Source organism: Homo sapiens, chromosome 13, assembly GCF_000001405.40.
Source record: "Homo sapiens chromosome 13, GRCh38.p14 Primary Assembly".
Classification (NCBI taxonomy): domain Eukaryota; kingdom Metazoa; phylum Chordata; class Mammalia; order Primates; family Hominidae; genus Homo; species Homo sapiens.
The window spans coordinates 104,944,572-104,972,377 of record NC_000013.11 but is presented as its reverse complement, the minus strand read 5'-3'; the positions used below and the strand labels follow the sequence as shown (position 1 = coordinate 104,972,377).

Sequence of the window (27,806 nt, the reverse complement as noted above, 5' to 3'; positions counted from 1 at the left end):
TCTCTTTATTGTTTGGTTTCCTTTGTTTTCTTTGAAGTAATTCCTTACACTTTTTCTAACTTTTAAATATTAATTTATTCATTCTGTATTTTTCCCATTAGATGCATTAAAAGCTATATTTCTCTTTTCTCCGAACTCAACTTTAATTCTATTTTGCACATTTGGAAATCTGCATCTTAAACAATTTTTAATTCTAAATATATTGATTTCTATCAACTTTTCTTCTTTGTTTCATGGACTATTGAAAAGTACAGTATATAATTTTCAAGCAGACGGGGATTTTTCACAGTTACCTTTGTGTTACTTTTTTAAGCTTAATTACATACTGTTAATAGGGTGTATTTTATATAATTTCATTATTTTATACTTTGATGACAATTCAATTCATGGGCTAGAAGACTGATTTTCTACCATAGCACTATTAATATTTTGGGTAAAATAATTCTTTATTGTGGGGTGGTATCGTGTATTGCAGTGTGTTTAGCGGTCTTCCTGGCTTCACCTATCAAGTTCTGGTAGCACACACCTCTCTACCAAGTCATGACAATCAAAATGTCTCCACACTTCGTTAAATGTCTCCTGATGTGGGAAAAATTTCCAATGCTAGACAAGCACTGGTTTAGAAATGGGTCAATTTTGTAAATACTCCACGTGGCCTCCAAACAATTTAAATACATTTCCATCCCCAAATGCGTCAGAAAGTTTTATCTTGTATTTTGGTACTATGTGTAATTTGAGAATCACATCCTTACTTTTGTGAAAACCATTACAGATTCTTCTGTAAATGCACACAACTTGTTTACAAGTTTTTGAATTTCTTACTTTACTCTTTATCTCTGAGTTTCCACGTAGGTAATTTTGAAGAATTTATTTGGTAGATCTTTTAGTATGATTCTTTCTGCTGGTGAGGACTTAGTCTCCATTTTCACTTGTACAAATATATCTAAAGTGTATTATAAATGGTGTGGCTGATAGATTCTCATTTTTTGTTTTGTTTGCTTTCTTTTTTTTTTGGAACAGTTAAAATATAATCGCATTGTCATGTACTTTCCACTGTTTTAGTTGAGAAATGCGATCTAGTTTTACTATGTTTCTTTGAGGATACAATGTCTCGATGTTTCTAAGATCTTTCTGTCATACTTTCTGCTTCTTAAGAGTTTTAATATAATGTGAAGGAATATATATATATATATATATATATATATATATATACCCATATATATTTATATACCTAGATGTATAGATATCTAGAAAATATATATCAATACAGATATACAGATGGTATATGTTAGATAGATATGTATATCTATATATATACTATATATATGGATAATAGTGATGAAGTGCTATTAAAACTTTCCTGATAACTTTCATTGGTTTTACAAATTTTGTCATTGCTTTTGAAATATGTCTTCTATTTTATTCTATTTTCTTGCATCATGTAGCTCTAATTATCTGTATAATTAACCTCTTTTTACCATATTTCCTCTCCCTCTGCAATCTTTTAATATTTGTTATTCTTTAACTTTTCTGTTTTTTGGGAGGTGTATATATTCTTTATGTCATCTAGTTCACTCATTCTCTGTTTACTCATATCCACCCCACTGCTAAATACATTTTTGTGTATTTAATTACATCTACTTTTATCATTCTGTTATACAAATGGAAATTTGATTTATTTTTCTACAGTTTTTAGTTATCTGTGGAAATTCTTAATCAGCCATTTTATTTTGTTGAAAATATTAAAAATAGTTACTTTAAAATTTGTATGTGATATGTCCATTATCTCTCATCTCTTTCTCTTTTTTCTCTTTAAAAAAGTGGTTCTTTCCCGGGTGGTGGAAGTTGCAGTGAGCCGAGATTGCACCACTGCACTCCAGCCTGGGTGACAGAATGAGACTCTGACTCAAAAAAAAAATAAAAGTATATAAAAATAATAAATACAATAAAATAAAAAACAGTTCTTTGTCTCTTTGTCTAATTTGTGCAGTACATTGTTAAAAATATTTTGAGAAATAGTTTCAGGTATAAGGAAATGTTTTATGTTCCTTCAGAAAGTTTTTTTTTTTTCTGGTAAGAGGCCTGTGGACAATGGAAGTTTTATGTGAAATAATCTCAAGCAACAGTAGGGTCCCAATGATCACCAGAGCTGCCAATATTTCTTGTTCCATTTATTTTTATTGTAAGATTTTTTTAGGATATCAAATTAAATATAGGTTAGTTTATCAGAGCATCTCAATTTTTAGTGCATTTGGAACTTATATTTTTGTCTCTGGACCAGGGGCTGTGAAAACTCTGCTTGTGACTCCAGTGTCTCAGCATTATCCTCTGCAATCACCAGCTTCCCCCTGAGGACTCAAAGGCTGCACGTCCTTTAAGTTATAGTGGATCTTGGGAATTTTTCAAGACATTTCTTTTCTTTTTTTTTTTTTTTTTTTTTGAGATGGAGTCTCGCTCTTTCACCCAGGCTGGAGGGCAGTGGCGCGATCTCGGCTCACGGCAAGCTCCGCCTCCCGGGTTCACGCCATTCTCCTGCCTCAGCCTCCCGAGTAGCTGGGACTACAGGCGCCCGCCACCACACCCGGCTAATTTCTTGTATTTTTAGTAGAGACGGGGTTTCACCGTGTTAGCCAGGATGGTCTCGATCTCCTGACCTCATGATCCGCCCGCTTCGGCCTCCCAAAGTGCTGGGATTACAGGCGTGAGCCACCACCCCCGGCCTCAAGACATTTCTACAGATGTTTTTTAAAAAAGATGTTTCAGGGTTTTTTTAAAATATAATTTTTCTTAGTAGGAGAGCTTTTCTGAATTACTTACTTTTCTATTTCCAGGAGTTGGATTTAATTCTCCAGGACAAAATGTTAAGTTGTCGTTTATGATGAAGAATAGTGTTTTTTACATACTTAGGAAAACAACTTGAGTCTACCTAAGCCAAGAAAATAAAAGTCTCATTCGCCACCAAAGAAAACAAGTAATATGAAGGTATCTTCTCAAACAAAATATCTTCAAAGATGCCCTCTGGTAGGCGGGCAGTAAATCTGGTTTTGCTATTCTGTTGTCAAATACAGTATGCCAATTGTGCAGTGTACTACATAGAACAGCACAAAGCTGCAAATAAGATTTTAAGTGTTAAGTAGGTGGGAATAAGTCATAAATTTTAGTGATAAAGATAAGCTGAGGAGAGGCTTTAATAGGTTGTTCTCATAAAACTCAATAATATTCAATGTGGTATAAACTTTTGAATATGCATGGGCCATTTCTTCATTGTAAAGTTCTTATCAGAGGAAATCGGAATTCTATTGTGACGTCATATTAAACTGACAAGGTTGCTCTTCCAGGAACATAATGAAATACAAAATTTTAAAAAGCATTTCCCTGGTTACTAAGGCAGCAGTTTAACATTAACTGGAGGATGAGCTTTTAGAGATCACACAAAGGGTAAATATTCGGATTTTTATTTTAAAAAATGTTATTAAGAAAGGAACAACTCTAATTACTATTCACAAAGCAGCCCACTGATGTAAAGACTAAAGACCAATCCACTGCTTCAGTTGAAGATGGCTCCCTCCAGGATATACATCACTGTCACTTTACCAGTTCACAGCAACATAATGTGTATGCAAGTTAGAGGATAGCGGATTGCATAATCCATTTCAAAGTTATTCCCCCAAAATTTTGCTTAATTGAATAAGGAAATTTTATACAATTATTCAATTATGATATTGTATTACACTTCAGAAAGAAAGTGTTTTTTCACCCTCACTCTCTGTACAAATAAAAAACCGAGAACGTAATCTATAAACAGCACCCGATGGCCCCTGCAGTGTAGAGTAACTGACCAGCTGCTAAGAAATTTCAACAATTGCCATAATGCAGGAAGTTAACATATTTATCAGATACTTGAGATGAAAAAATGGTATTTCATGGGGACTTTTTACCCTATGCCATCTGGTCCTGAGGTGCCTATTACATCTATTATTGACTCATTAAAGTCAATGAGGTGAATAACACAATTAAACTTGTTTACTTGTCAAGTAACAGTCAGTTAACATTGAAATGTAACTTCCAGTTTCAGTACCACTATGCGGCAAAAACCCACTCCGACCACACTTAGTGATACCCAAAATTAATCTCAGATTAATATCTCTCAAAAATTATAGAGCAATTTAAAAGTACATGAATATTTGAGGCTACATTTCAACATACAAATGCCGTATAAGAGTCACAATGAAGATCAGTCTTTATAATTAAAACAATATAAGAGTAATAAGTGGCCAATGGGGACCAAACACAGGATACATATTCCTGCACTCCACTTATCACTCAGCTGCAGATGGCTTGCACATTTGCAAATAGCTTGGAGAAAACATGGATCCGCGTGTGCAGGCAGGGCAGCAAAAGGAAAAGCTATCAGAATGGAAAAGCTTATTTCTACAAAACAGCTTAAGAATTCATTATTAGATAAGCTCTTAAATATGTGCATAAATGGTTGTGGTAAAATGAAAGTACTATACGTATTATTTTAACTTACCCTCAATATTCCATCATGAGAACAATGCAAAGAAATATCTTTTAACACTGGACCTAAGAAAACCAATATAAAAATGTTTTAGACTATAAATATTTAAATAGTTATAACACAGGAACTTTTGTTTTGTTTTGAGATGGAGTTTTGCTCTTGTTGCCCAGGCTGGAGTGCAATGACGTGATCTTGGCTAATCTAACACTGGCACTTCTTAACATCCTTCTCTGAGACATAACAAGACAGAAAATCTACTTTTTATTTATAAACGCTTACTTATATAAAGCAAGTAAACATCATTTGTTCATTATACACATTTTAAGTTCAGACAAATTAGTAAAATGCCAGTTTTCAAACTAAAGTTTCTTGAATAAATGCCACGAGGCTTCAGAAATAAGCATGGGCTCCATCACTGACAGTCACACATGCATTATGACCAATAAGCATTTAGAGAAAAAAATAGAGAGGGAAAGAGAAAGAGATTGCCAACCACAATGGAAGCACAATAGCATAATGTCTTCTGAAAAATTATTGTAGCCAAAATAATTTCAGTTATTGCCTCAACTTTCTCTCTGTGAATTCCTACCAACTGGCAAGCACCTAAGGAGAGATTTGTGTTACTGATGGCTGCCACCACTCTTGGGGCTAAAATAAATATTTATTTTGCTTAAAGATGAAGTTCTTTTCCTTAAAATAAAATATCTATTTATTAAAATCCATGTAAAAATTTTAAATATTTTTACAAATGATGTCAGTATTTCTTTTACCAAATGTGGACAAATAGTCACCAGAAATTGTCCATTCAAGTAACCTCTAGAGCAAACAAGTATCACTGAGTGTTTTTCATCAATTATAAGACATCCAGGGATATCATTAGCCATTGAACTTAAATAAGTAGCACATTGAAAGATATATCCCTACATGGTCACATGCCTCCTCAACAGTAGGTTTTAATCTAAGCAACTTAACTTAGAATTTACAATGTAAAATCTATTGAGGAAGAGAAAGTGACCAATAATCCAGACATTCGAACTCACTCACTACATTATATAACTAAAAGTTCGTGCTCCTCATGTTATAAAAATAAAATAGAAAACCATTTAATACAAATAAATATTTACTGCATCAGTATGCTATAGGATTGTAAACAAAGCTATATTTTTGCAACTAGATATATGGAAATGGTCACTGCAATGAACTCCACTAATATATCTCAGGGACTTAGTAGTTTAAAGATAATGAACTTACTTCTTCATTCCAGTATATAAGGCAATATTTGGTGAGATCTGATAACTAAAAATAACAACAGCTCTGAAATTCCATGTATTTTTATAATCATAGATTTTAGTCAATTTAAAAACATATTAAAACAACCTAATTTAGGGTTGAAGTTATTTACTTTAGACTATCATAACATATTGATTGTTTTTCAAAGTATAATGTTTCCATGTATTTTTGAGAAATAATTGTGATGTTTTCTAGTCATACAAAGAGAAGGGCAAAGGTTAACTGGTGTGCATGTTGAGCTTATTGATAATTTTCAAGTAGTAAAAGTCCTTTCCATTAAAGAGTACATGTCTAACAGCACTTCAAAGAAAGCTCTACATAAAAATTAGATTGATTTCAATTTGGTTCAACCTCATGACTATCTAATCCATTTGAACATACAATGTAGATTTTAATTACTTAAAGAAAAACAAAAATCCATTTGTTTTTTTTTTTGACATTGAACTTAAGTTATGTAAAAGTAAACATACATTCAAGGCTTTAAAAATTCTGGATGGTATTCAACAGGAAAAGACTTCAGAACATATTCTAGAAAAATATCTTTATATCACATGGAGCACTCTTACATGATCTACTTAGGAAAGTAATAATTATGTAAAACCAAGCTATTCATTGTCAGATCAAGTAACCTTCTAAAAAAGGGAAATTGAACTGCAAATGGACACTTGGGATGAAATGATAGTAAGCAATCCATATGGACCTGAATAAGTAAGTACAGGATTATGTATTTCGTTTTGGAAAAGTGAGAAAAGGAAGATTCAAGGCAATGAAGAATCAATTAATGCATCTTTAATGCATAAGATGAATCAAGAGCAAAACCAATTTAACTATGAAAATATACAGGCTGAAAGAAACCACTAACTTTAAAAATTACAGTATTTTATATCAAAGCTATGTTTTCTCATATAATATTAGCAGTACTTTTATCTCCTATGAATATAACTGAGTGGAAAAAGCATTTTTATGGAATCAGTGATATATAAAATGCACGGTGATTTTTTTACACCCCATGTAAAAAAATTTACACCTCCTGTGAAAAAATAAATTTGAAAGGATTACTGAGCACTTTGCAAATAAAGAGCAATAACGTACCTAATATTATTGAGTAAGTGGTAACACATTCAAATATGGAAAAATAAAGCTAGACAAGTAACAGCATCTGCAGTAATGCAAATTAATATTTTCAGATCTTTTCATTAGGATGAAAAGGTCTAAAAGCCCATGAGGGCTGTAAAATGTACACTGAATTACACACGCTCCGTGTCTCATCAAAAGCTTCTGCACTTTTACTTATGGTGAGCATGTTGCCAGCACCTTACTTGTTACTCTACCTACAGATGAGAGAACTTGTTTGGACAAATTTAGAACACATGGAAAGTGAACTCCCCAGGATTTTAGTTTATTCTGAGAAAAGCACAACTTCCTGGTTTCTTTCTTTTTTTTAAAGAGCCTTAAAGGATTATCAGAAAGTCTCAATAGCCTTCATGGATATCAAATCGCTCTAAAAGACCGGGTGTTTTGATGATTTAAGTGTAAATGATTCAAAAACACATGGATTAAGTTTCCATTAAAATACACAAGGTTGTAAAAATCAAGGGAGAAGTCATTCCAAAAGGGGCATTCGGTGCTTTAACTTCGAGTGCTTGAAAGCAGTTCAAGATGTCCAGCAAAACCAACCTGCAGACAGGACGCATCATTCAGATTGTATTTTACTACAGAACAGGGATGATTTTCCATTCAGGCAAATTTGTGCTGATACATACCATATAACCTTAGAGATTATTACATGCCTAAATAAAATCAGATACACAGTAATTTAAATATATGAAAATTAATACAGATATGATACAAAATAATCATGTAGGTTTTGCCAGTAAAAAGTTATTTTTAACTCACATTTTGAAATTAAATCAGAAAGTGGTTAGTTAGGCTTTAACTGCAATCTTACCAACTAACCACATTTTAGATGATTTTACTGACAACTCACCTTGAAAGGTACTCTTATTGAGAAGCCAAGAAATAGAAAAGATAAATGGAAAATGGTTCTACCTTTGGGCAAAGGAATGATGATAAAAGTCCACTCATTCACTGTGACTCTATTTTTATTCTACCTGTATTGAGATGCAACTCATATAACAAATCCCATCCGTTTATGGTATACTTTAGAGTATATTCAGAGGTTGTGCAACCATTACAACAATGAATTTTAGAAAATTTTATCATCCTCCAAAGAAACCCCATTCTCATGAGCAGTCATTTCCCAGCCAACTCCCAGACTTGGACAACTACCAATCTTCTGCCTTTCTCTATGAATTTGCTTATTCTGTACATTTCAAATAAACACATACAATATGTGGTGGTATGTGACTGTCTTCTTCCTCTTAGTGTAATTTTTTCAAGGTTTATGCATGCTATAGCATTTACAATACTTTTTTTAAATTGTCAAATAATATAACATTGCATGTATAGCACATTTTATTTATCCATTCATCACTTGATGGACATTTGAGCTATTTTCGCTTGTTGGCTGCTATGACTAATGCTGCTATGAATATTCATGCGAAACTTTTCTTTGTGTGGATGTATGTTTCCATTCCTCTTGTATATGTACCTAGGACTGAAATTTCAGAGTAGCTTGGTCATTCCATATTTAAACTTTAGAGGAACTGCCAGACTATTATCTAAAACAGTTGCCATTTTACTTTCCCCTCAGCACAACATGAAGGTTGTAATTTTTCACATCTTCACCAACACTTGTTATTATCTATCTTCTGATTCTAGTCACCTTAGTGGATATAAAATGGTATTTTCTCTAGTTTTTAATTACATTTCCCTGATAGTTACAACATAGACTTGTCCGTGCTGTCTAGATACTTATGTTGTCATGAAGATCGTCTACCTCTACTTATATAGATGATACATACAGACAGATAATAAATAAAACATAATTTCATAGAGAGGGACAGTGAAAAAATATGAAATAGGGTAATGTGATACAAATTGACCAGAATAGAGATCATTTTAAGCATCAGAAAGAACCTCTTGATTAGGTGAGCTTTGAGTTGAAATAAAAAGGATGGAAAAAAAAAGCCTTGTGAAGAACGCAGAATATATTTTTCTTCACTAGGGGAGAAGAGCAAGTGTAAACTCTCTAAGACAGAAGTGAGCTTGGCAACTTTCAAGGAGCCCAAGGCAGCCTCGTGTGACTGAAGCATAGAGAGTGGGAGGGAAGACGCGTGATTGAACGAGGAATTCATGGCAAATGAGTAGAACCTCAACTCACACACACCAGGCACTTAACAAATGCTGCTTGTTATTGTTGTTATTCTTATTTTACTAGCCTATGTATTAGCCAGGGTAGTACAAAGATGAGGCTTATTAAAGAATGGTATAATTTCTGTGGATAAAATATTCTACCACTTTATGATTTTTAAAATTATTAATTTATCATTGAAGTCAGATGGCACAAAGGAAAAACCAGAAGGTGTGGAAAGTCTGGGTGAAAACCTCAAGTCTGCCACTTTTATAGCAAAGGTGCAGGGAGTAGAGTGTGGAAAAGGAGCGGGAAGGTCTTTCACTACAACCCCACAGGTGGGAAGCTTGAATTTTGTTACAACTTGGCTTCATTTTGTTACAACTTGGCCAATCTGGGGATTTTCTTTCCACCACCAAGCCTCAAGGTATCTGCGATAATATTCTGTTCTGTGGACTTACCATTGTACCAGATTTCAAAGGCAAGCAGTCCACCCTTTGAGGCTCAGGAAAATGATGAATAAAGCTTTATGGTACAGAGTGTGTAGGGACAGTCTTGTAGGATAATGACTGGCTGGGATGCTGGCTGATATTACTGGTCCATCCCCAGTGTGTAATTACAAGACAGACATGTGGTACATGTCTGCTAGGCACAGGTGGGCATCAGTTCTCATTTGAATTCAGCCTGGGTGTTTCCAGGTGGAAACACGTGGTTTCCCCTGGCTTCTGGCCCTGGTGGCAGATGGTCTTTGCCCAGACTTGGCTAGGAGGCTGTTATTGGCCTCACTCTCTCCCTCTCCACCTACCATAACCTATGGAACGTTAAAAGACAGAATAAGAAGATGGACCGTGGGTGTCTTTTGAAAGTTTTTCTATATTGTTCTTAGATGTAGAATTATGCATTTAAAAGGAATGAATGTATTGGTTCCTTTCTCTTGTTCCATCTGCCTGGCCAGTCCTTAGGAATGAGCTAAGGGAGCTGGTGTTAGGAAGGACACTGTGGGTTATGACGTCAATAGTGGAACATGCCACCCATTAACTTTTGTAGCTCAGTCAGCTGTAAGATTATGATAATACCCTATTTCAAAGGACTGTGGTGATGAGATAACATAATCTATACTACTATGCAAATTATAATGCCTACACCTCCCAAATCTTTCAAGATAACAAATTCTACATTTTATTCATATTCTGTATTTTATGTATATTTTATATTTTTGCAGAGGGCTGCTAGCTTCAGTTATTAGACAACTTTTCTCCTCTCCCTGCACTCCCTCCAGATGACAGCTCTGACCAGTTTTCTGAGCCCTCCCTATCTTGACCTTTTCTGTTTGGACACTTTCAGCAACTCTGGTGTTCCCAGAGCATCACTTCACCTCAGCACTTTGCACTGGCTCTCCCCTGTGCACGGAATGGTCTTTCACCCTCTGGCCATGTGGCTTGCTGTCTTCTCATTGTATACAGGTCTCAGATTGACTTTCCTTGGCTTCTGCTCTGTTCATGTTTTCTTTTTCTTAATAGCCTTCAATACCATTGGACAGAATATAGGCCTGTTTCAATCAGCTACCGTAAAAAGTCATAAAGGAAAAAACTTTATTTTTTACTGTCTACACTCTACCAGTTAGAAAAGTACCTAACATAAAGTAGACATTTAACAAACATTGGCTTAGAAGCATGAATGAATTTGTCCTAAATTTTTTTCATTAATCAGCAAAGAATATTTTGGGGTGAAGTTACAGCAATGGGTTACTAAACAGATTACAGCTACTCAGGAGGCTGAGGCAGGAGAATTTTTGTATTTTTAGTAGAGATGGGTTTCACCATGTTGGCCAGGCTGGTCCCGAACACTTGACACTGTGATCCGCCCGCCTCAGCCTCCCAAAGTGCTGGGATTACGGGGGTGAGCCACTGCGCCTGGCCACCTCTAATTGTTGATGTATTTGAGTGACAGATTCCAAGCAGAATCAGCACGCCCTTTGAAAGCATTAAATGCTTGCTACTCCAGAAATGGCCATTTATTGGTCCAGAACCATCACCATTGCCTGGAGCTCCTGAAAATGATGAATCTCAGCCTACTCCAGACCTACAGAACAAGAACATGTAATTTTAACAAGATCTCCAGGTGATTCTTATACACATTTGCTGTTGAGAAGGTCTGGGTTAAGCTATGCATCAATTATTCAAGTACATGCAGGGACAAGGCAGGCAATACAAAGAGTAAATTGGAACTAGGTATGAGGTAAAAACAAGCGCATCAGGCTGAGGAGCATTTGACAGTATGTACACATTCCTACAAAGGTTTTCAATATGATGGAAGGAAAAAATAATACTCTGTGCTGGGAGAAAAATAGCTCCTGAAGGAAGCACTAAACATGGAAAGGAACAACCGGTACCAGCCACTGCAAAATCATGCCAAATTGTAAAGACCATCAAGGCTAGGAAGAAACTGCATCAACTAACGAGCAAAATAACTAGCTAACGTCATAATGACAGGATGAAATTCACACATAACAATATTAACTTTAAATGTAAATGGACTAAATGCTCCAATTAAAAGACACAGACTGGCAAATTGGATAAAGAGTCAAGACCCATCAGTGTGCTGTATTCAGGAAACCCATCTCACGTGCAGAGACACACATAGGCTCAAAATAAAAGGAGGGAGGAAGATCTACCAAGCAAATGGAAAATGAAAAGAAGGCAGGGGTTGCAATCCTAGTCTCTGATAAAACAGACTTTAAACCAACAAAGATCAAAAGAGACAAAGAAGGCCATTACATAATGGTAAAGGGATCAATTGAACAAGAAGAGCTAACTATCCCAAATATATATGCACCCAATACCGGAGCACCCAGATTCATAAAGCAAGTCCTGAGCGACCTACAAAGAGACTTAGACTCCCACACAATAATAATGGGAGACTTTAACATCTGGGACACATTCAAAGGAGTGTGTAGAGGGAAATTTATAGCACTAAATGACCACAAGAGAAAGCAGGAAAGATCCAAAATTGACACCCTAACATCACAATTAAAAGAACTAGAAAAGCAAGCGCAAACACATTCAAAAGCTAGCAGAAGGCAAGAAATAACTAAAATCAGAGCAGAACTGAAGGAAATAGAGACACAAAAAACCCTTCAAAAAATTAATGAATCCAGGAGGTGGTTTTTTGAAAGGATCAACAAAATTGATAGACCTCTAGCAAGACTAATAAAGAAGAAAAGAGAGAAGAATCAAATAGATGCAATAAAAAATGATAAAGAGGATATCACCACTGATCCCACAGAAATACAAACTACCATCACAGAATACTACAAACACCTCTATGCAAATAAACTAGAAAATCTAGAAGAAACGGATAAATTCCTCAACACATACACCCTCCCAAGACTAAACCAGGAAGAAGTTGAATCTCTGAATAGACCAATAACAGGCTCTGAAATTGTGGCAATAATCAGTAGCTAACCAACCAAAAAGAGTCCAGGACCAGAAGGATTCACAGCCGAATTCTACCAGAGGTACAAGGAGGAACTGGTACCATTCCTTCTGAAACTATTCCAATCAATAGAAAAAGAGGGAATCCTCCCTAACTTATTTTATGAGGCCAGCATCATCCTGATACCAAAGCTGGGCAGAGACACAACCAAAAAAGAGAATTTTAGACCAATATCCTTGATGAACATTGATGCAAAAGTCCTCAATAAAATACTGGCAAACCGAATCCAGCAGCACATCAAAAAGCTTATCCACCATGATCAAGTGGGCTTCATCCCTGGGATGCAAGGCTGGTTCAATATACGCAAATCAATAAATGTAATCCAGCATATAAACAGAACTAAAGACAAAAACCACATGATTATCTCAATAGATGCAGAAAAGGCCTTTGACAAAATTCAACAACACTTCATGATAAAAACTCTCAATAAATTAGGTATTGATGGGACGTATCTCAAAATAATAAGAGATATCTATGACAAACCCACAGCCAATATCATACTGAAGGGGCAAAAACTGGAAGCATTCCCTTTGAAAACTGGAACAAGACACGGATGCCCTCTCTCACCACTCCTATTCAACATAGTGTTGGAAGTTCTGGCCAGGGCAATTAGGCAGGAGAAGGAAATAAAGGGTATTCAATTAGGAAAAGAGGAAGTCAAATTGTCCCCGTTTGCAGATGACATGATTGTATATCTAGAAAACCCCATTGTCTCAGCCCAAAATCTCCTTAAGCTGATAAGCAACTTCAGCAAAGTCTCAGGATACAAAATCAATGTACAAAAATCACAAGCATCTTATACACCAATAACAGACAAACAGAGAGCCAAATCATGAGTGAACTCCCATTCACAATTGCTTCAAAGAGAATAAAATACCTAGGAATCCACCTTACAAGGGACGTGAAGGACCTCTTCAAGGAGAACTACAAACCACTGCTCAGTGAAATAAAAGGGGATACAAAGAAATGGAAGAACATTCCATGCTCATGGGTAGGAAGAATCAATATCATGATAATGGCCATACTGCCAAAGGTAATTTATAGATTCAATGCCATCCCCATCAAGCTACCAAAGACTTTCTTCACAGAATTGGAAAAAACTACTTTAAAGTTCATATGGAACCAGGAAAGGGCCCACATCGCCAAGTCAATCCTAAGCCAAAAGAACAAAGCTGGAGGCATCACGCTACCTGACTTTAAACTATACTACAAGGCTACAGTAACCAAAACAGCATGATACTGGTACCAAAACAGAGATATAGATCAATGGAACAGAACAGAGCCCTCAGAAATAACGCCGCATGTCTACAACTGTCTGATCTTTGACAAACCTGACAAAAACAAGAAATGGGGAAAGGATTCCCTATTTAATAAATGGTGCTGGGAAAACTGGCTAGCCATATGTAGAAAGCTGAAACTGGATCCCTTCCTTACACCTTATACAAAAATTAATTCAAGATGGATTAAAGACTTAAACATTAGACCTAAAACCATAAAAACCCTAGAAGAAAACCTAGGCATTACCATTCAGGACACAGGCATGGGCAAGGACTTCATGTCTAAAACACCAAAAGCAATGGCAACAAAAGACAAAATTGACAAATGGGATCTAATTAAACTAAAGAGCTTCTGCACAGCAAAAGAAACTACCATCAGAGTGAACAGGGAACCTACAAAATGGGAGAAAATTTTCGCAACCTACTCATCTGACAAAGGGCTAATATCCAGAATCTACAATGAACTCATACAAATTTACAAGAAAAAAACAAACAACTCCATCAAAAAGTGGGCAAAGGACATGAACAGACACTTCTCAAAAGAAGACATTTATGCAGCCAAAAAACACATGAAAAAATGCTCACCATCACTGGCCATCAGAGAAATGCAAACCAAAACCACAATGAGATACCATCTCACACCAGTTAGAATGGCAATCATTAAAAAGTCAGGAAACAACAGGTGCTGGAGAGGATGTGGAGAAATAGGAACATTTTTACACTGCTGGTGGGACTGTAAACTAGTTCAACCATTGTGGAAGTCAGTGTGGCGATTCCTCAGGGATCTCGAACTAGAAATACCATTTGACCCAGCCATCCCATTACTGAGTATATAGCCAAAGGACTATAAATCATGCTGCTATAAAGACACATGCACACGTATGTTTATTGCGGCTCTATTCACAATAGCAAGGACTTGGAACCAACCCAAATGTCCAACAATGATAGACTGGATTAAGAAAATGTGGCACATATACACCATGGAATACTATGCAGCCATAAAAATGATGAGTTCATGTCCTTTGTAGGGACATGGATGAAATTGGAAATCATCATTCTCAGTAAACTATCGCAAGAACAAAAAACCAAACACCGCATATTCTCACTCATAGGTGGGAATTGAACAATGAGAACACATGGACACAGGAAGGGGAACATCACACTCTGGGGCCTGTTGTGGGGTGGGGGGAGGGGGGAGGGATAGCATTAGGAGATATACCTAATGCTAAATGACGAGTTAATGGGTGCAGCACACCAGCATGGCACATGTATACATATGTAACTGACCTGCACATTGTGCACATGTACCCTAAAACTTAAAGTATAATAATAATAAAATAAAATAAAAAGAACACTTCTGGCTAGCTGTATTTTCCATCTCTTCGTTGAAATCATATAATTTATGATGAGTTACAATAAAATGTTATTTCAAGCCGATCAACACCCAAGGGATGTCAATTTTAATGAGGTATAATAGAACTTTAGGTAATATTTGGGAGCAGAAAGCATTTTAAGACACTGGTTTTGGACCTTGGAAGATCAATAGCAGGGCAATAAGTCTTCAGGGTAGTTGAGGGAAAAGAGAAGGCTTAAGTAAAACTTTGCAACTTTCCCTTTCAAATCCAAAGAGAAACCAGATCCCCTTGAAAAGAGTAAGCAATGTGTCCAAGGTTGCATTGTTGGGGAGTGTTGGGACTTGGATTGCTCTGCCTAATCTCATAACCCAGGCATCCCTCATCCTGGAAGGAAGGGTGATCCTGATGACTTTACCTCTATTAGATTAATGTGTCAAACCTAGCTGACTCCAAGGTACCACATATGTCTGGATCTTGCCTGTGATTGGATTATTTTCTATATCTTTATAACTCTCCTTCTATATTCTTTATTTCTGACCTATGAAAGGCTGAACTTTGGGTAGCATTTTATTCTTTCTTGATGAAAGTTATCTCTTCCTTTTGCCATAATTTTTCTGATGCCATTAATAATCCAAGTTTATATTATCTGTATTTCTTTTGCTGAAGATTTATGTTGAACTTGCATAGATTGCCCCATATCTCATCTTTACAGCATAAGTTCTTTTATTGTCCTACTCATCCCAAATCCACATATGACAATGCCATTTAGATAAGAATATTTTATAAGCAATTTTCTGCTTTAGTTTTTCAATATTGTAGTACATTATTCTGGTTTTTCCTATACACTGTTTGCTCCTAGACATAAATTGCTTCTAGTTCTTAGGTTGTTTGCTTGGTCTTGAGAGAGTATTCTTTATTAGTTTATCTTGTCCCTAAACTCAAATTCTCTGTCCAACTCATTCAGAACGAACCTGGATCCTCTCACTCTGCTGCAGTTTCTTATTCTGGTAATTCTTTGTTGTTGGGGCCGGACTGTGCATGAAAAGATGATTAACAGCATCCCTGGACTCTACCTACTGCAGGACGGTAGCTCTTCTTCCACATCCAGGTCGTGCCAGTCGAAAACATCTCCAAATATTGCCAAATGTTCTGAAGGTCACAACCACTGCTCTATTGAAACCTGTCATCCTGAAGTCACTCGTGACCAGAAACAACGGCCAATTTTTATTTTTATTTATTTTGTATTTATTTTTATTTTTATTATTTTTTTTTTTTGGCGGAGTCTCGCTCTGTCGCCCAGGCTGGATTGCAGTGGCGCGATCTCGGCTCACTGCAAGCTCCGCCTCCCGGGTTCACGCCATTCTCCTGCCTCAGCCTCCCGAGTAGCTGGGACTACAGGCGCCCACCACCACGCCCGGCTAATTTTTTGTATTTTTAGTAGAGACGGGGTTTCACCTTGTTAGCCAGGATGGTCTCGATCTCCTGACCTCCTGATCCGCCCGCCTCGGCCTCCCAAAGTGCTGGGATTACAGGCGTGAGCCACCGTGCCCGGCCCAATTTTTATTTTTTACATTATTCCTGAAAGCTGAAAGCCTCTGTTCCCCTGGAGTTTCCTTCGTTCGGAGATTACACTGCACCATTCTCTTGGTTCCATTTCTAGCACACTTCGGACTTTTGAGTTGGTCTGCTTTCTTTCCCTGGCCTTGAACAGTGTGCCCACCCGGGTTCTCAGCTCTGCTCTTCCGTATGTGGTACCACTGTCTCAGGATAACAATTGTTCTGAGAATTTCCACTCCCATTCTACATTCTGACGACTGCCCTCCTTCAGTTCTAGTCCCCCTGAAGCATCTCTCCTGAGAGCCAGTCCTGGACCTCGACCCTTGGCTGCCCAGCCAGCACTCATGTAATTACACTAATCCACTGTATTTTCCTTTCCTCCTCCATGAGACCTGGTATTTATCACACATTTCCATTGTCACTTTATGTCCTCATCACCCAGCTATTCTCCCTCCCTTCTAAATTTAGATTTATTACCAAAATCTATTTATTACAAACACACGTATCCGAATTTGATCTCTCCAATTTATCATCATAATCTTTCCTTAAAGCTAGAGAAATACTGTAGTTTCCCCATCTCTTGCCTGCACTATTTTTACAACCTCCTCAACGGTCTTCCAGGCTGCCAGGCTCCCTAGATTTTGTCTGCTGCACATGTTGCTGACAAGTTTATTGTCCCTAAAATAAACCTGAATATGTCCTTTCATTGATTAAAAGACCTCAGCTATTGTGCATTGTTTTCTGAGTATAATTCAATCACCTTAATAAGGCATTGAAAGACCTCTGTGATCAGGCCCCACATACCTCACTGAAGTTATCACCCTTTTCGACTACCAGCCACAATGTGGCCATGTCCTTGTACGATCCCACTTCAGATGTTGCACTTTTTCTGTCCTGGGTCACCTTCCCTACTTCTTGGCTGACAAACTCTTACTGATTCTTCCCTAAACCGCTCAATTACCCCTTCCCTCTAAAGGGGACTTGCACTTACATAGGCATAAAAAGAAACTTGGAAACTATTTTCATTTATCAGAATGTGCTATAAGTATTCTTTTAGACTTGCATTTTCCTCTTATGAACTATCAGACCATAGGTTCTGATTATTTCTCAATAGATTAAACAAGATTGTTAGCCAGGATTGTCTCGATCTCCTGACCTCCTGATCTGCAAGATTATTTCTCAATAAACAAACAAGACTATTTCTCAATAAAGAAAGAAAAACAAAATGACTCAAACAAAAAGTTCTATAATTCAATTGCACATTTCACAATAACATTGAGAAATAAAAGTGAAAGAAAGCAATATATATTTAGGCATGCGTGTGTGTGTATGTGGAGACAGAGAGAGAGAGAGAGAACATTGAGCTATACTATTACAGTAGGAACAAACAAAATAATTTCCTTGATCTTATATTAATCTAAATCATACAAATATTAGAAATTTTACAACAATCCTAAGGAAAAAAAGGTTATTGAGCATATAAATTAAAATGAAACTTTCATGGAGAGAAAAATAATATCAGCACATTGTTATATAACAGCTTTCACATTTAATCAAATTAACTGCTAATAAATTTCATATCAGTCAGAAATAGAAATGCAGAAATATATTTTGAAAAATAATAAAAAACAAATGTATGTTTATATTGGATTTTACATTTTCAAATGCCAGAAGTCCTCATTAAAGATCTCACAAGCTGAGTATTTTCTTTGCATTCTGTTTAAATGAGTACAACTTTAACCTCAGCCAATTAATTTCATCATCTTAACTGTACCAAGATGTACTTTGGAGTTCAGCTCTACTTATTCAGGGCTAGAGACTTTGAATCATGGCTCAAAATTGATGCAATCTTAAAAACGAAAGGCCAGTACTTTATCCTATAATCTTCTTCAAAATATTGACTCAGTGTCCATGGATGTTCATCATTGCCCAGGGATAAATCAGTAAGACTATCTTAATGGAGTTTGATCAGTGAATGCGGCCACATGTGTTCACAGGGCCTAGCCTAATAACTGGGTCAATATGTTCAGACCCATTGTCTGTGCGTAGTGATTTCATTAGATAAAAAACATCTTTGCCCATTTCTTTCTAATTGTTTTAGGAGTATAATTCCTGCTGATAATCTACAACATTGACTTGTACATGGGAAGGCAAACATTTGTTAGAAATTCTTTCTGCTACCTTTGATCGGAATGAAAGAAAAAAAATCAAGAGATATTAAAATCAACTACAAAGGCAAAGGAACCTGTCTTTTCAGGTAAAATTGAGTTATTTAAGGCTGATTTACAATTATATGTATTTTACAATGTCTCCTGCAAATGTATATAGCTTTCACTAACAGTGCAATGATACTTGCCATCGAAAATAAAATGCAGAAACCTCTTTTCCCATCTTATTGATAAGAAGGTAAAATTTAAATCCTGAACAGCTCTTTCCATCAGAACATGATATTTGGTTTCACAAACTCTTCCTTCAGTAACAGAGCATAAGTTTGGAATATCATGCTTTATTTTCACCCACTAATGCCATTTTCTGTTTGAAGAAAATAATAATGTGCAGCTGCTGCTCTATCAGGGTGACTGGCAAGTCATTCCCAAGCTTCATCCTAATTAGATCAATAAAAACTAATCCCTATGAGAGTATACATAAGTCTTGCCAATTACACACTTAATTTAGAGAGAAGTAGTACTATTTTCAATAAGTGGAACTATCATGACTATTTCATTGCTCTTTTCCAACATTTATTTCCCTGGATCACTGAACTGCAGATGTAACCAGTGAGATGTGAGACAGGGTGGGGCGTGGTGAATGGGAGGAGCAATCATTGGTTGATACTTATGGCTGCTTTGATGCTTACAGAATGATTACACAAGAGGAAACAAATGGTTTTAGAAAAGCTCATGTGATCATATAATAATTGGTCTATAGGCTTCTGTGAACAGTAGAAACTCTAAGACAATTATAGGTACCTGTGTTTAAATAACTTAAAATCATTCCACTCTGCCATTTCTGGAAAAGATTAAGAAGCAATACAGTCCAGCAATCTGAGAGCTGTGACGATGTGATACAAGTAGAGTTCAGGTCAATTTGTCATCACTGGCAATAATTAAATAGTCTTTGCCTTGAGCTGCTTTACCCATTTGAATGGGAATTATGTCCACCACCACCAAAGTCACTTTCTATTGCCCAGGTATTGATTTGGCTCTTTGTTTTTTTCTACATGCAGAATCACCAATTACAACATGGTTATTGATATCATGGAAGGATCTAAATTGGCTCTTTTTGCATAGTAGGTAAAAACTAAGGAAGAAAATCGTGATTTTTATTCTGACAAAATAAACTAATTTTAGAATGTTATTACTTGATTTACTGTTTTGCAGAACATGTAATTCTTTTAAAATTGATTCAACTTTTCAGTTCATTGGCTTTCTCTTCAACATTTATTTTAATGTAAAATGATACAAAGATATCTAAGTATTTAACATCACGTGCATACGGGTTTGTAAAGGTGCAGTTGTCCAATATATACTATTGAATAAAATGTCATTTATAAAATCTGATTATGAGCATATATTGTAATTAGTTGTATAAAATATTTGCATTTACTAAAAATACAAACACCAATTTTTGTTTTAAACAAGGCAATACATATAATTTCTATTAATATGCAGTAGATTCGTTTTACATCTAAGTTTTAAAATCACCAGGGATAAATCATCACTACCTATGGTTGTGTCAATTTACATATCTAATTCTGCAAGCAGAACGTCTCTCTAGCCCTGCCCATCACAGCATAGCTTCAGAGCAATTTCCCCTCTATGCACCGTCTAGGAACATGACCAGATTCATTCTATTTAGGACAATGTGGCAGCTGGGAGAGCAGTTCTTCAGTTTCACAGAATAAGTCAGTATGACATTCACCTTGAACTCAAATTTTATATAACTTTCATATCCAAGATAGTACATACATTTTGGGGGAATATGTCAAACTAAAATATATCACCTGCGTCTTAAGAAATGAAAAGTATTGTACATTTTGGGTTATATATGGCTAACTGGATAGATATAGATATGTAAATATACCAAATGAACCAAAAAGAGGAGAAATATCTGCCCAAGTACACTGAAGAAATAGATAATTACATGATATTTGGATTATTTTATTGACTTCTCAGAATTAGGCAGAAAAATCATGTCATTGGTGCTATGTAAATAGGATGCTAAATTTTAAAAAGTTTTACTCTCCTCCAAATGGAATAGAAAGGGGGAATGTGGTGATGAGATGCTCTCTTGCCTTGAAGTCAGCTGGGCATGCTACTAACAGCCAAGGCCAAGCAGCAGATCAAGGTTCTCCTGGCCTGCTGCCTGCCAATCATGATCTCTCATGAGCTATTTCACTTCGCTCCACTGTGTGTGATGCGTAGGTTCTCTGGCCTAACAATCCATGGTCCTTTTCACTTTGGTTAAAGGACAGAGCCCTAGTTTCATACAGGAAGAAAAATGAAGACAAAGGAAATACTGCATTAGGTATAGTGTCTGAAATGATGTTGGACAGTCACAACGGTAAGAATGCCAGAAAAACTAAACTTTGTTTTCAAATAGACATCTAGAACAACAGCACTACATTTTTTGGAATCTTACTATGAATGGTTTATAACACTTCAAAATTTTGCCTGTTTCATGCATTCACATTTACAATAGATAGGTGATGACTGATCCTCCAGCTGGAGTCTGGGGGTCTGGCATGCCTCAACTCTCAGAGGACACTTAACTGTCCCGAAGAAATGGTCATTTCATCATTTAATCAGGTACTTGCATGTAATTGCATTTGGATACACAGGCATTCACACACTTACACAACTACATTTAACCTTCAAAGAGAAACTTTCTAAAGGGAATTTGCTTCTTATGGAAGTAAAGTCAGAATGAGCTGTATTCAAAGGGTGAGGAAAGCTATACACAGGAGACCTCTGTTTTATTGTGGTTTAGCTCATGGAGCAAATATGTTTAGTGGTTTCGGTCTACTTCCTTGGAAAAATGTCCACATTGAAAATGACCACCCAGGTTAGCAAAGTTTGGCATAATGCTCACATCCTAGAAAACAGAAGTCTCTATCCAAGGCCAATGTCCATTTCCAACTCTTACTACATTTCTTTTCCTCAGGGAAGAGATTTTAGTAGGATCAAAAGAAGTTATTCTACGGGTCTAGAAAAAATACAATAAATTGCGCACTTTAAACTCATAACTACTAAATCAAAATAATTTATTGTCCTCCATTTTTAACCATAAATAGAGACCGTCCACTACGGGATCAACCAAGAGTGAACTATTCCCCAGCTGGTTATGAAATTTATTCAGATGTCACGGAACTGTGACCTGGTAACCTGCCCAGTCTTAGAGATGCCGAACATTACAAATGTGGAGGCAGTTGGGCTACATAAAATTCTTTCCCAAAACAGTGTAGCATTGTCAAAAAGTCGTATAAATATCAATCCATGCCACAATCTTATAAAAAATTGCCAGCCTCATTCTTTTTGTTTCACTTTCTATTCCCCCTTCTTAGCAAATGACTGATTGATTCCTTGGGCAGACTTTAGACTCCTATCAGGTACTGAGGAGGCTTATGCAGTCCCTGGGAAAGACCGTGAGTTCCATACAGGGTGAAAGCATGAATTTTGCTTTCAAAGAGCCCACATTTTTCAGGGGCAATACAATGAAATATATGGCTTCCTTAAGACATTTTCAACAGTAATATAGACTTGTGGAAGAATTTTGTGCAATTGGCATTGAAGTAAACATAAAGGCACTAAAGAAAGTGGATGCAATTGCTGCAAATAACTCCTTTTTTGAATATATTGAGTCAAAATTTTGGAAATTTTAGACAATAAGCCTTGTGCAGACATGCAATTAGTGACAGAGACGTGTTCTGATAAATGTGTCCTTAGGTGATTTTTGTCCTTGTGCTAACATCAAAGAGTGTACTTACATAAACCTAGATGGGATAGCCTAGCACCTAGGCTATGTGGTATACGGCCTACTGCTCCTAGGCTACAAACGTGTACAGCATGTTATTGGACTGAATACTGGAGGCAATTGTAACACAGTGGTGAGCATTCATGTGCTTAAACATATTTAAACATAGAAAAGGTACAGTAAAAACATGGCATAAAAGATTAAAAAATGGTAGACCTGTCTAGGAACTTAGCATGTATGAAGTTAATTGGACTGAAGTTGCTCTCAGTGAGTCAGTGAGTGAGTGGTGAGTGGTTGTGATGGCCTGGGACATGACTGTCGGCTTTATGAACACTGTACATACAGGCTATACCGTGTTTATTATAAAAATTGTTTTTATTCAATCATACACTTAACTTACTGTAACTTTTTTACTTTATACACTTTTTAATTCTGTAAACTTTTTTTTACTATTTTGTAATAACACTGAGCTTAAAACACACATTGTAACCTGGACAAAAATATTTTCTTTCTTTATATCCTCATGTTATAAGCTTTTCTCTACTTTAAATTTTTAACTTTTATTTTTTACTTTTTAAAATTTTGTTAAAAACCATGACACAAACACACATACCACCCTAGGCCTATACAGGGTCAGGATTATCACCATTATTGTTTCTGCCTCCACATCTTGTTCCCCTGGAAGGTTTTCCGGTGTAATGGCACACAAGAAGCTGTCATCTCCTATAGCAATGCTATCTTCTGGGTCCCTTCCCTGCCCGAGGCTATTTTACAGTTAACAATTTTCTCCTAAGTGGAAAAGGTACACTTTAAAATAATGGTAAAAAATATAGTATGGTAAATACACAAACCAGTAATATAGTCATTTGTTACCATTATCAAGGATTATGCACTGTATATAATGTATATGCTGCACTTTTATATGACTGATAGTGCAGGTTTGTTTACACCAACATCACCACAAACATATGAATAATGTGTTGTGTTATAATCTTATGATGACTATATCATTAGACCACAGGAATTTTTCAGATCCATTATAATTGTATGCAACCACTATTAAATATGCAGTCCATCATTAACTGAAATATGTCCTTATGCATGACTATGTGTGTGTGTGTATACATATACATAAATGTATATACACCCACATATATAAGTATAATTTATTCTATATACTCTGATTTCTGTCACTGAGATTTACTCAGAGTGTTCCAAATAATATAATAATTTGCTTTGCCTACAGAATGAAGCAAACTATAGAAATTAAGTATAGGTAATGTCAGCATTATTTGAAGATTTTTCCTATATTACCCAAATATTTATTTCAATTTCACCTAGTCAATTCCTAATTTGATTTCTCATCAAATATTATAGAATTGTCACTTTTTAAAAAATAGCCATGCTTGCTTGTGCAATCTTTGTCACCTTTGAATGTACCTTTTTCAAGCATTTTTCCAGAAAAGCAGAAGTCAAATAGATTTTCAGGCTATAATAGCAAGAAAACTTCTACCTGAGTACAATGAACATGAAAATTTTTTAGAAAAATGTAACTCCAATATTCAAACCAGAGTGTTACCTGTAGGAAAGAGAGAGCTAGAATAATGCATGATGAAAGTCAACACTGAAACCAATTTTATTACAACTCTCAAAGTTATTTCAGTAAGTTTTAGTTTGGGGTAAAGAATCCATATTCTATTTACTTCTGAAAAAGTCTCCAAAATGAAGCAATGGAGGTGAATACTTGCATATATATGTGTTAGTAGACAATATTCATTGTGTACCCCAGTAACACTGGGGTTGCAAAGCATCAAATCAAAACAATTCAATGCAAAGCAACATGAAAAATTCTAAAACACATAATTGAAAAGCACAACATACAGCTCTTTCCTACTCCTGAGTCTCTTACAACAGATCTAAAGTATTTCTGTTTCTCCTAATTAAGTAAATATTCTCCCTTAATACTCTTTCACTTTGCCACCAACTCTGGGTTCTTGAATTTAAAACTTCAATAAAGTAACTAAAATAAAGTTTCCTTAAAAGCAATAATGATGGTAAAGAACCTGGTAGAGGGATATGGGATACAGTAACAAAGCAAATGAGAAATTGTGAATTCCTTAAAAGCAGAGACTTACTGCTCTTTTCAGACTCAGGACTTATTGCAGTGCTTAGCATCAAAAGGAAATCAATAATTGCTTTTGAATTTTTGAATTAACTCTCTTCATCTTGTGGTGGAATTTTTATCTTAGTTGAAGATTTATCTTGTCAACTAAAACCACTTGATAGTTTAGGTTTTCTTTAATCATCCAGTCAATAACTTAATTGTAGCTGTATTCGACTCTCAAGTAATCCATATAAAAGTGGCAAATGGTATTGCATATGTTTGCATTAATCAATTATAGTAACTTGGAAAAAACAGTCACATTACATTTCAATACAAATACTTCTTTAATTCAGTGATTAACATGAAACATAAACCATGGTTTGTTTTTACGAAGGGATCTTACTATTACTCCAGTTTTACTAACAATAATTGAAAGAAAATATGTCATCCCAGTGAGTGGTATTTTCAGTACCATTATCATCACAATACTAATTTTAGTTTTTTTTCTCTTTCAGTTGAAGAAAAGAACTGCTGCCTCATTATGGTCTTTTTCAATTAAAATGAACTCATGTTGATAGACAAATATTTGCATTGCTATAATATTGGATTAATAACACTCACAGCAACAGCAATTAAATCTCCCTTCACCAACATTTAATGTCCAATTTTAATCAAGTCTATGGGGAATGTAATTGAAAAAAATTCCCATGTTCTTCCTTTGCCTTTGCTGTGCATAGATTTCTTTTTTTTCTTACATATATAATATCATTCCAATAATATTTGTCATAAGGAATAGTAAAACTTAAGAACTGATCATATCTTCATTTCATTTCTCTAGGGCAAAAAGTGAGAAACACCAAATTTAATCAATCTTACTACCAAAACGTGGTAATTTCTTTGATGATGAAAATTACAAGGTTATGTCATTTATTACTGGGACATTAATTATTGGTAAAATGTAGACATTCATTATAAAAAATGCCATACGCAATACTCTAACAATGGAATTACATATGCATGCCCACCTGTGCATGTGTGTGTACCACCTGTATGTCCATGCACTAACCTCTTTCCAGAATGTATTTAATACAGTACTGACTGAGTGTTATCAACTACATGATAATAAAACAGTCTTCTGAAGATTGTTCAGCATAGGTATCACGTTAAAAAGCAGATTCCACATTTTCTGTGCTTTCAAAAACTGAATATAAGGATATTAGAGTCTTTCCTGTCAAAATTATTCATAGAAAACAATCTCAGTTTGCTTTTAAATTAAAAAAAAAAACAAAATCAAACAGTAAAAATCAACAAAGATCAACTGAACTTTCTATATAGAGCTCAAAGAGGTGATATTTAAGAAAGTGAGAGCCAGGGAGAAATAACGTATTTACACTGGTCTGTGTTGATATTCTGTTTACCATGAATATTTTGTACTAATTTTGAGATTTAAAATATTTATCAAATATTATTTATCTTGACCACTGTGGGGTTTTTGTCCCATCTTAAATTTTGTTCCCAATTATGTTTGGAGTCCAATTATTGATCACGGATACAATTTTTAATAAGTGTTTTATTATTAAATATAAAAGCAGGTAAAATCATTTTCTCCCCATTATGAAAGAAAATAGTATTAACCAATTTTAAGTCCCATGTACATTAAAATTTTGACTCTTTACTATGCTTTTATTTCTACAATTCTAGGTAGTTTCTCTTCCAATTAATATTTAATTTAAACATAATTCAAATATTTATTTCATTATTCTAAAACTTTATTTTTAAGAACCTGTATTGTCTTCCATTCTGCCCTAGCATCTAGCTTCTCTATATTCTTCTGCTTTCTCCATTTGGCTGAGTTCTAATTTTATACTTTCCTAGAGCATTAAGCTCTAATCTAACATGCCTGATCATAGTAAAGACAGGAAGATTTTTTAAACCAACACATTCAGAGTAAAGCTCTCTATATGATTATCCTCCTAATTGTGTATCTCTTTTAGTGCACAGTATTATTTTACCAATTCCATCTAATTTGTTAGAAAACATGCTTCACAATTTTGTCCTACTTTTTTATTTTCAGCAGTCCTTTCAAACTAAGTTTTAATGTCTTTTAATCTGAGGCATCAGTATCTGCCACATCACTGTAGGTCACCTATAGAATGTCTTCATGTAATTTATGTCTTCACACCACACTACCATTTTTCTTTTCTTTCACATTTCTTCCCTCGTTTTTTTCATACTTACTTTTCTCTTTCAATTTTGTTTTTGTTTGGAATACAACACCCTTGGGAAGAAGTGTAAGAGAGAAATAAAACTAAATAAGTGATACGTGATACAGCTGTTTTCTGGTTTGTTCTTGCATGATTTATTCTTAGAAACAAAGCCAAAACAATTCTCCTAGGTGTTTATGTAATGACCAGCCCCCACCTTTAACTATGCACTGAGGCTGTACAGGAGCTTTCCATTTTTATCTTATTGAATTAAAATTCATAAAGCTTGACCTTTATGATTTTCTATTAATTGCTTTTCCTTTTATAATTTTCAATTTGCCAGACAATCAATTGTCAAATTCAATGTTATACTTCTTTCTGCATTCTGAATATTTTTGTATTTTTGTTTGCCATGAAATGCTTACATTTTTAAAATTAAAATATCATTTTGCCTCCTTTTTGTCAGACACATCTTACTACATCTATGTAATGTCGATGAAAAGAATCTTCACTTATCTTCTAGACTCAATGTACTCTCTCCAAAAAACAAGGAGGTGGAGAATACAAATATAAATATTTCTAGGTTATTTAGGAAGAAAATCATCTAACTCCAAAGAAATATAACTGGGCCATTCACGTAGATTTGCCATAGTTGACAGTACTTAGTAAATCTGAGTTTAAATGTAAATTGTTGTTCAAAGTAGAGTTTGAACAACAATTTGAATCGTCAAACTTGGCAACATTCCTTTCAGACAATATAAAAAATAAAATACTCCTTT

At 35.3% G+C, this 27,806-nt stretch overlaps 1 long non-coding RNA gene across 3 annotated transcripts in view; it reads left to right on the top strand.

Annotated features, from left to right (window-relative positions):
• Window positions 1–3,367: 3,367 nt before the first annotated feature.
• The window catches only part of LOC105370343 (uncharacterized), a 37,659-nt gene continuing 13,220 nt past the window's right edge, over window positions 3,368–27,806 (top strand). The window contains exons 1-4 of one of the 3 annotated variants that reach the window (XR_931694.3): window positions 3,368–3,438; window positions 18,848–19,003; window positions 19,973–20,035; window positions 25,339–25,412. This is a non-coding gene — a long non-coding RNA (uncharacterized LOC105370343). Of the gene's footprint in view, window positions 3,439–17,007; window positions 17,093–18,847; window positions 19,004–19,972; window positions 20,036–25,338; window positions 25,413–27,806 lie in introns of those variants that run through there. The other 2 variants (XR_931693.3, XR_001749998.1) reach the window with 2 other exon arrangements.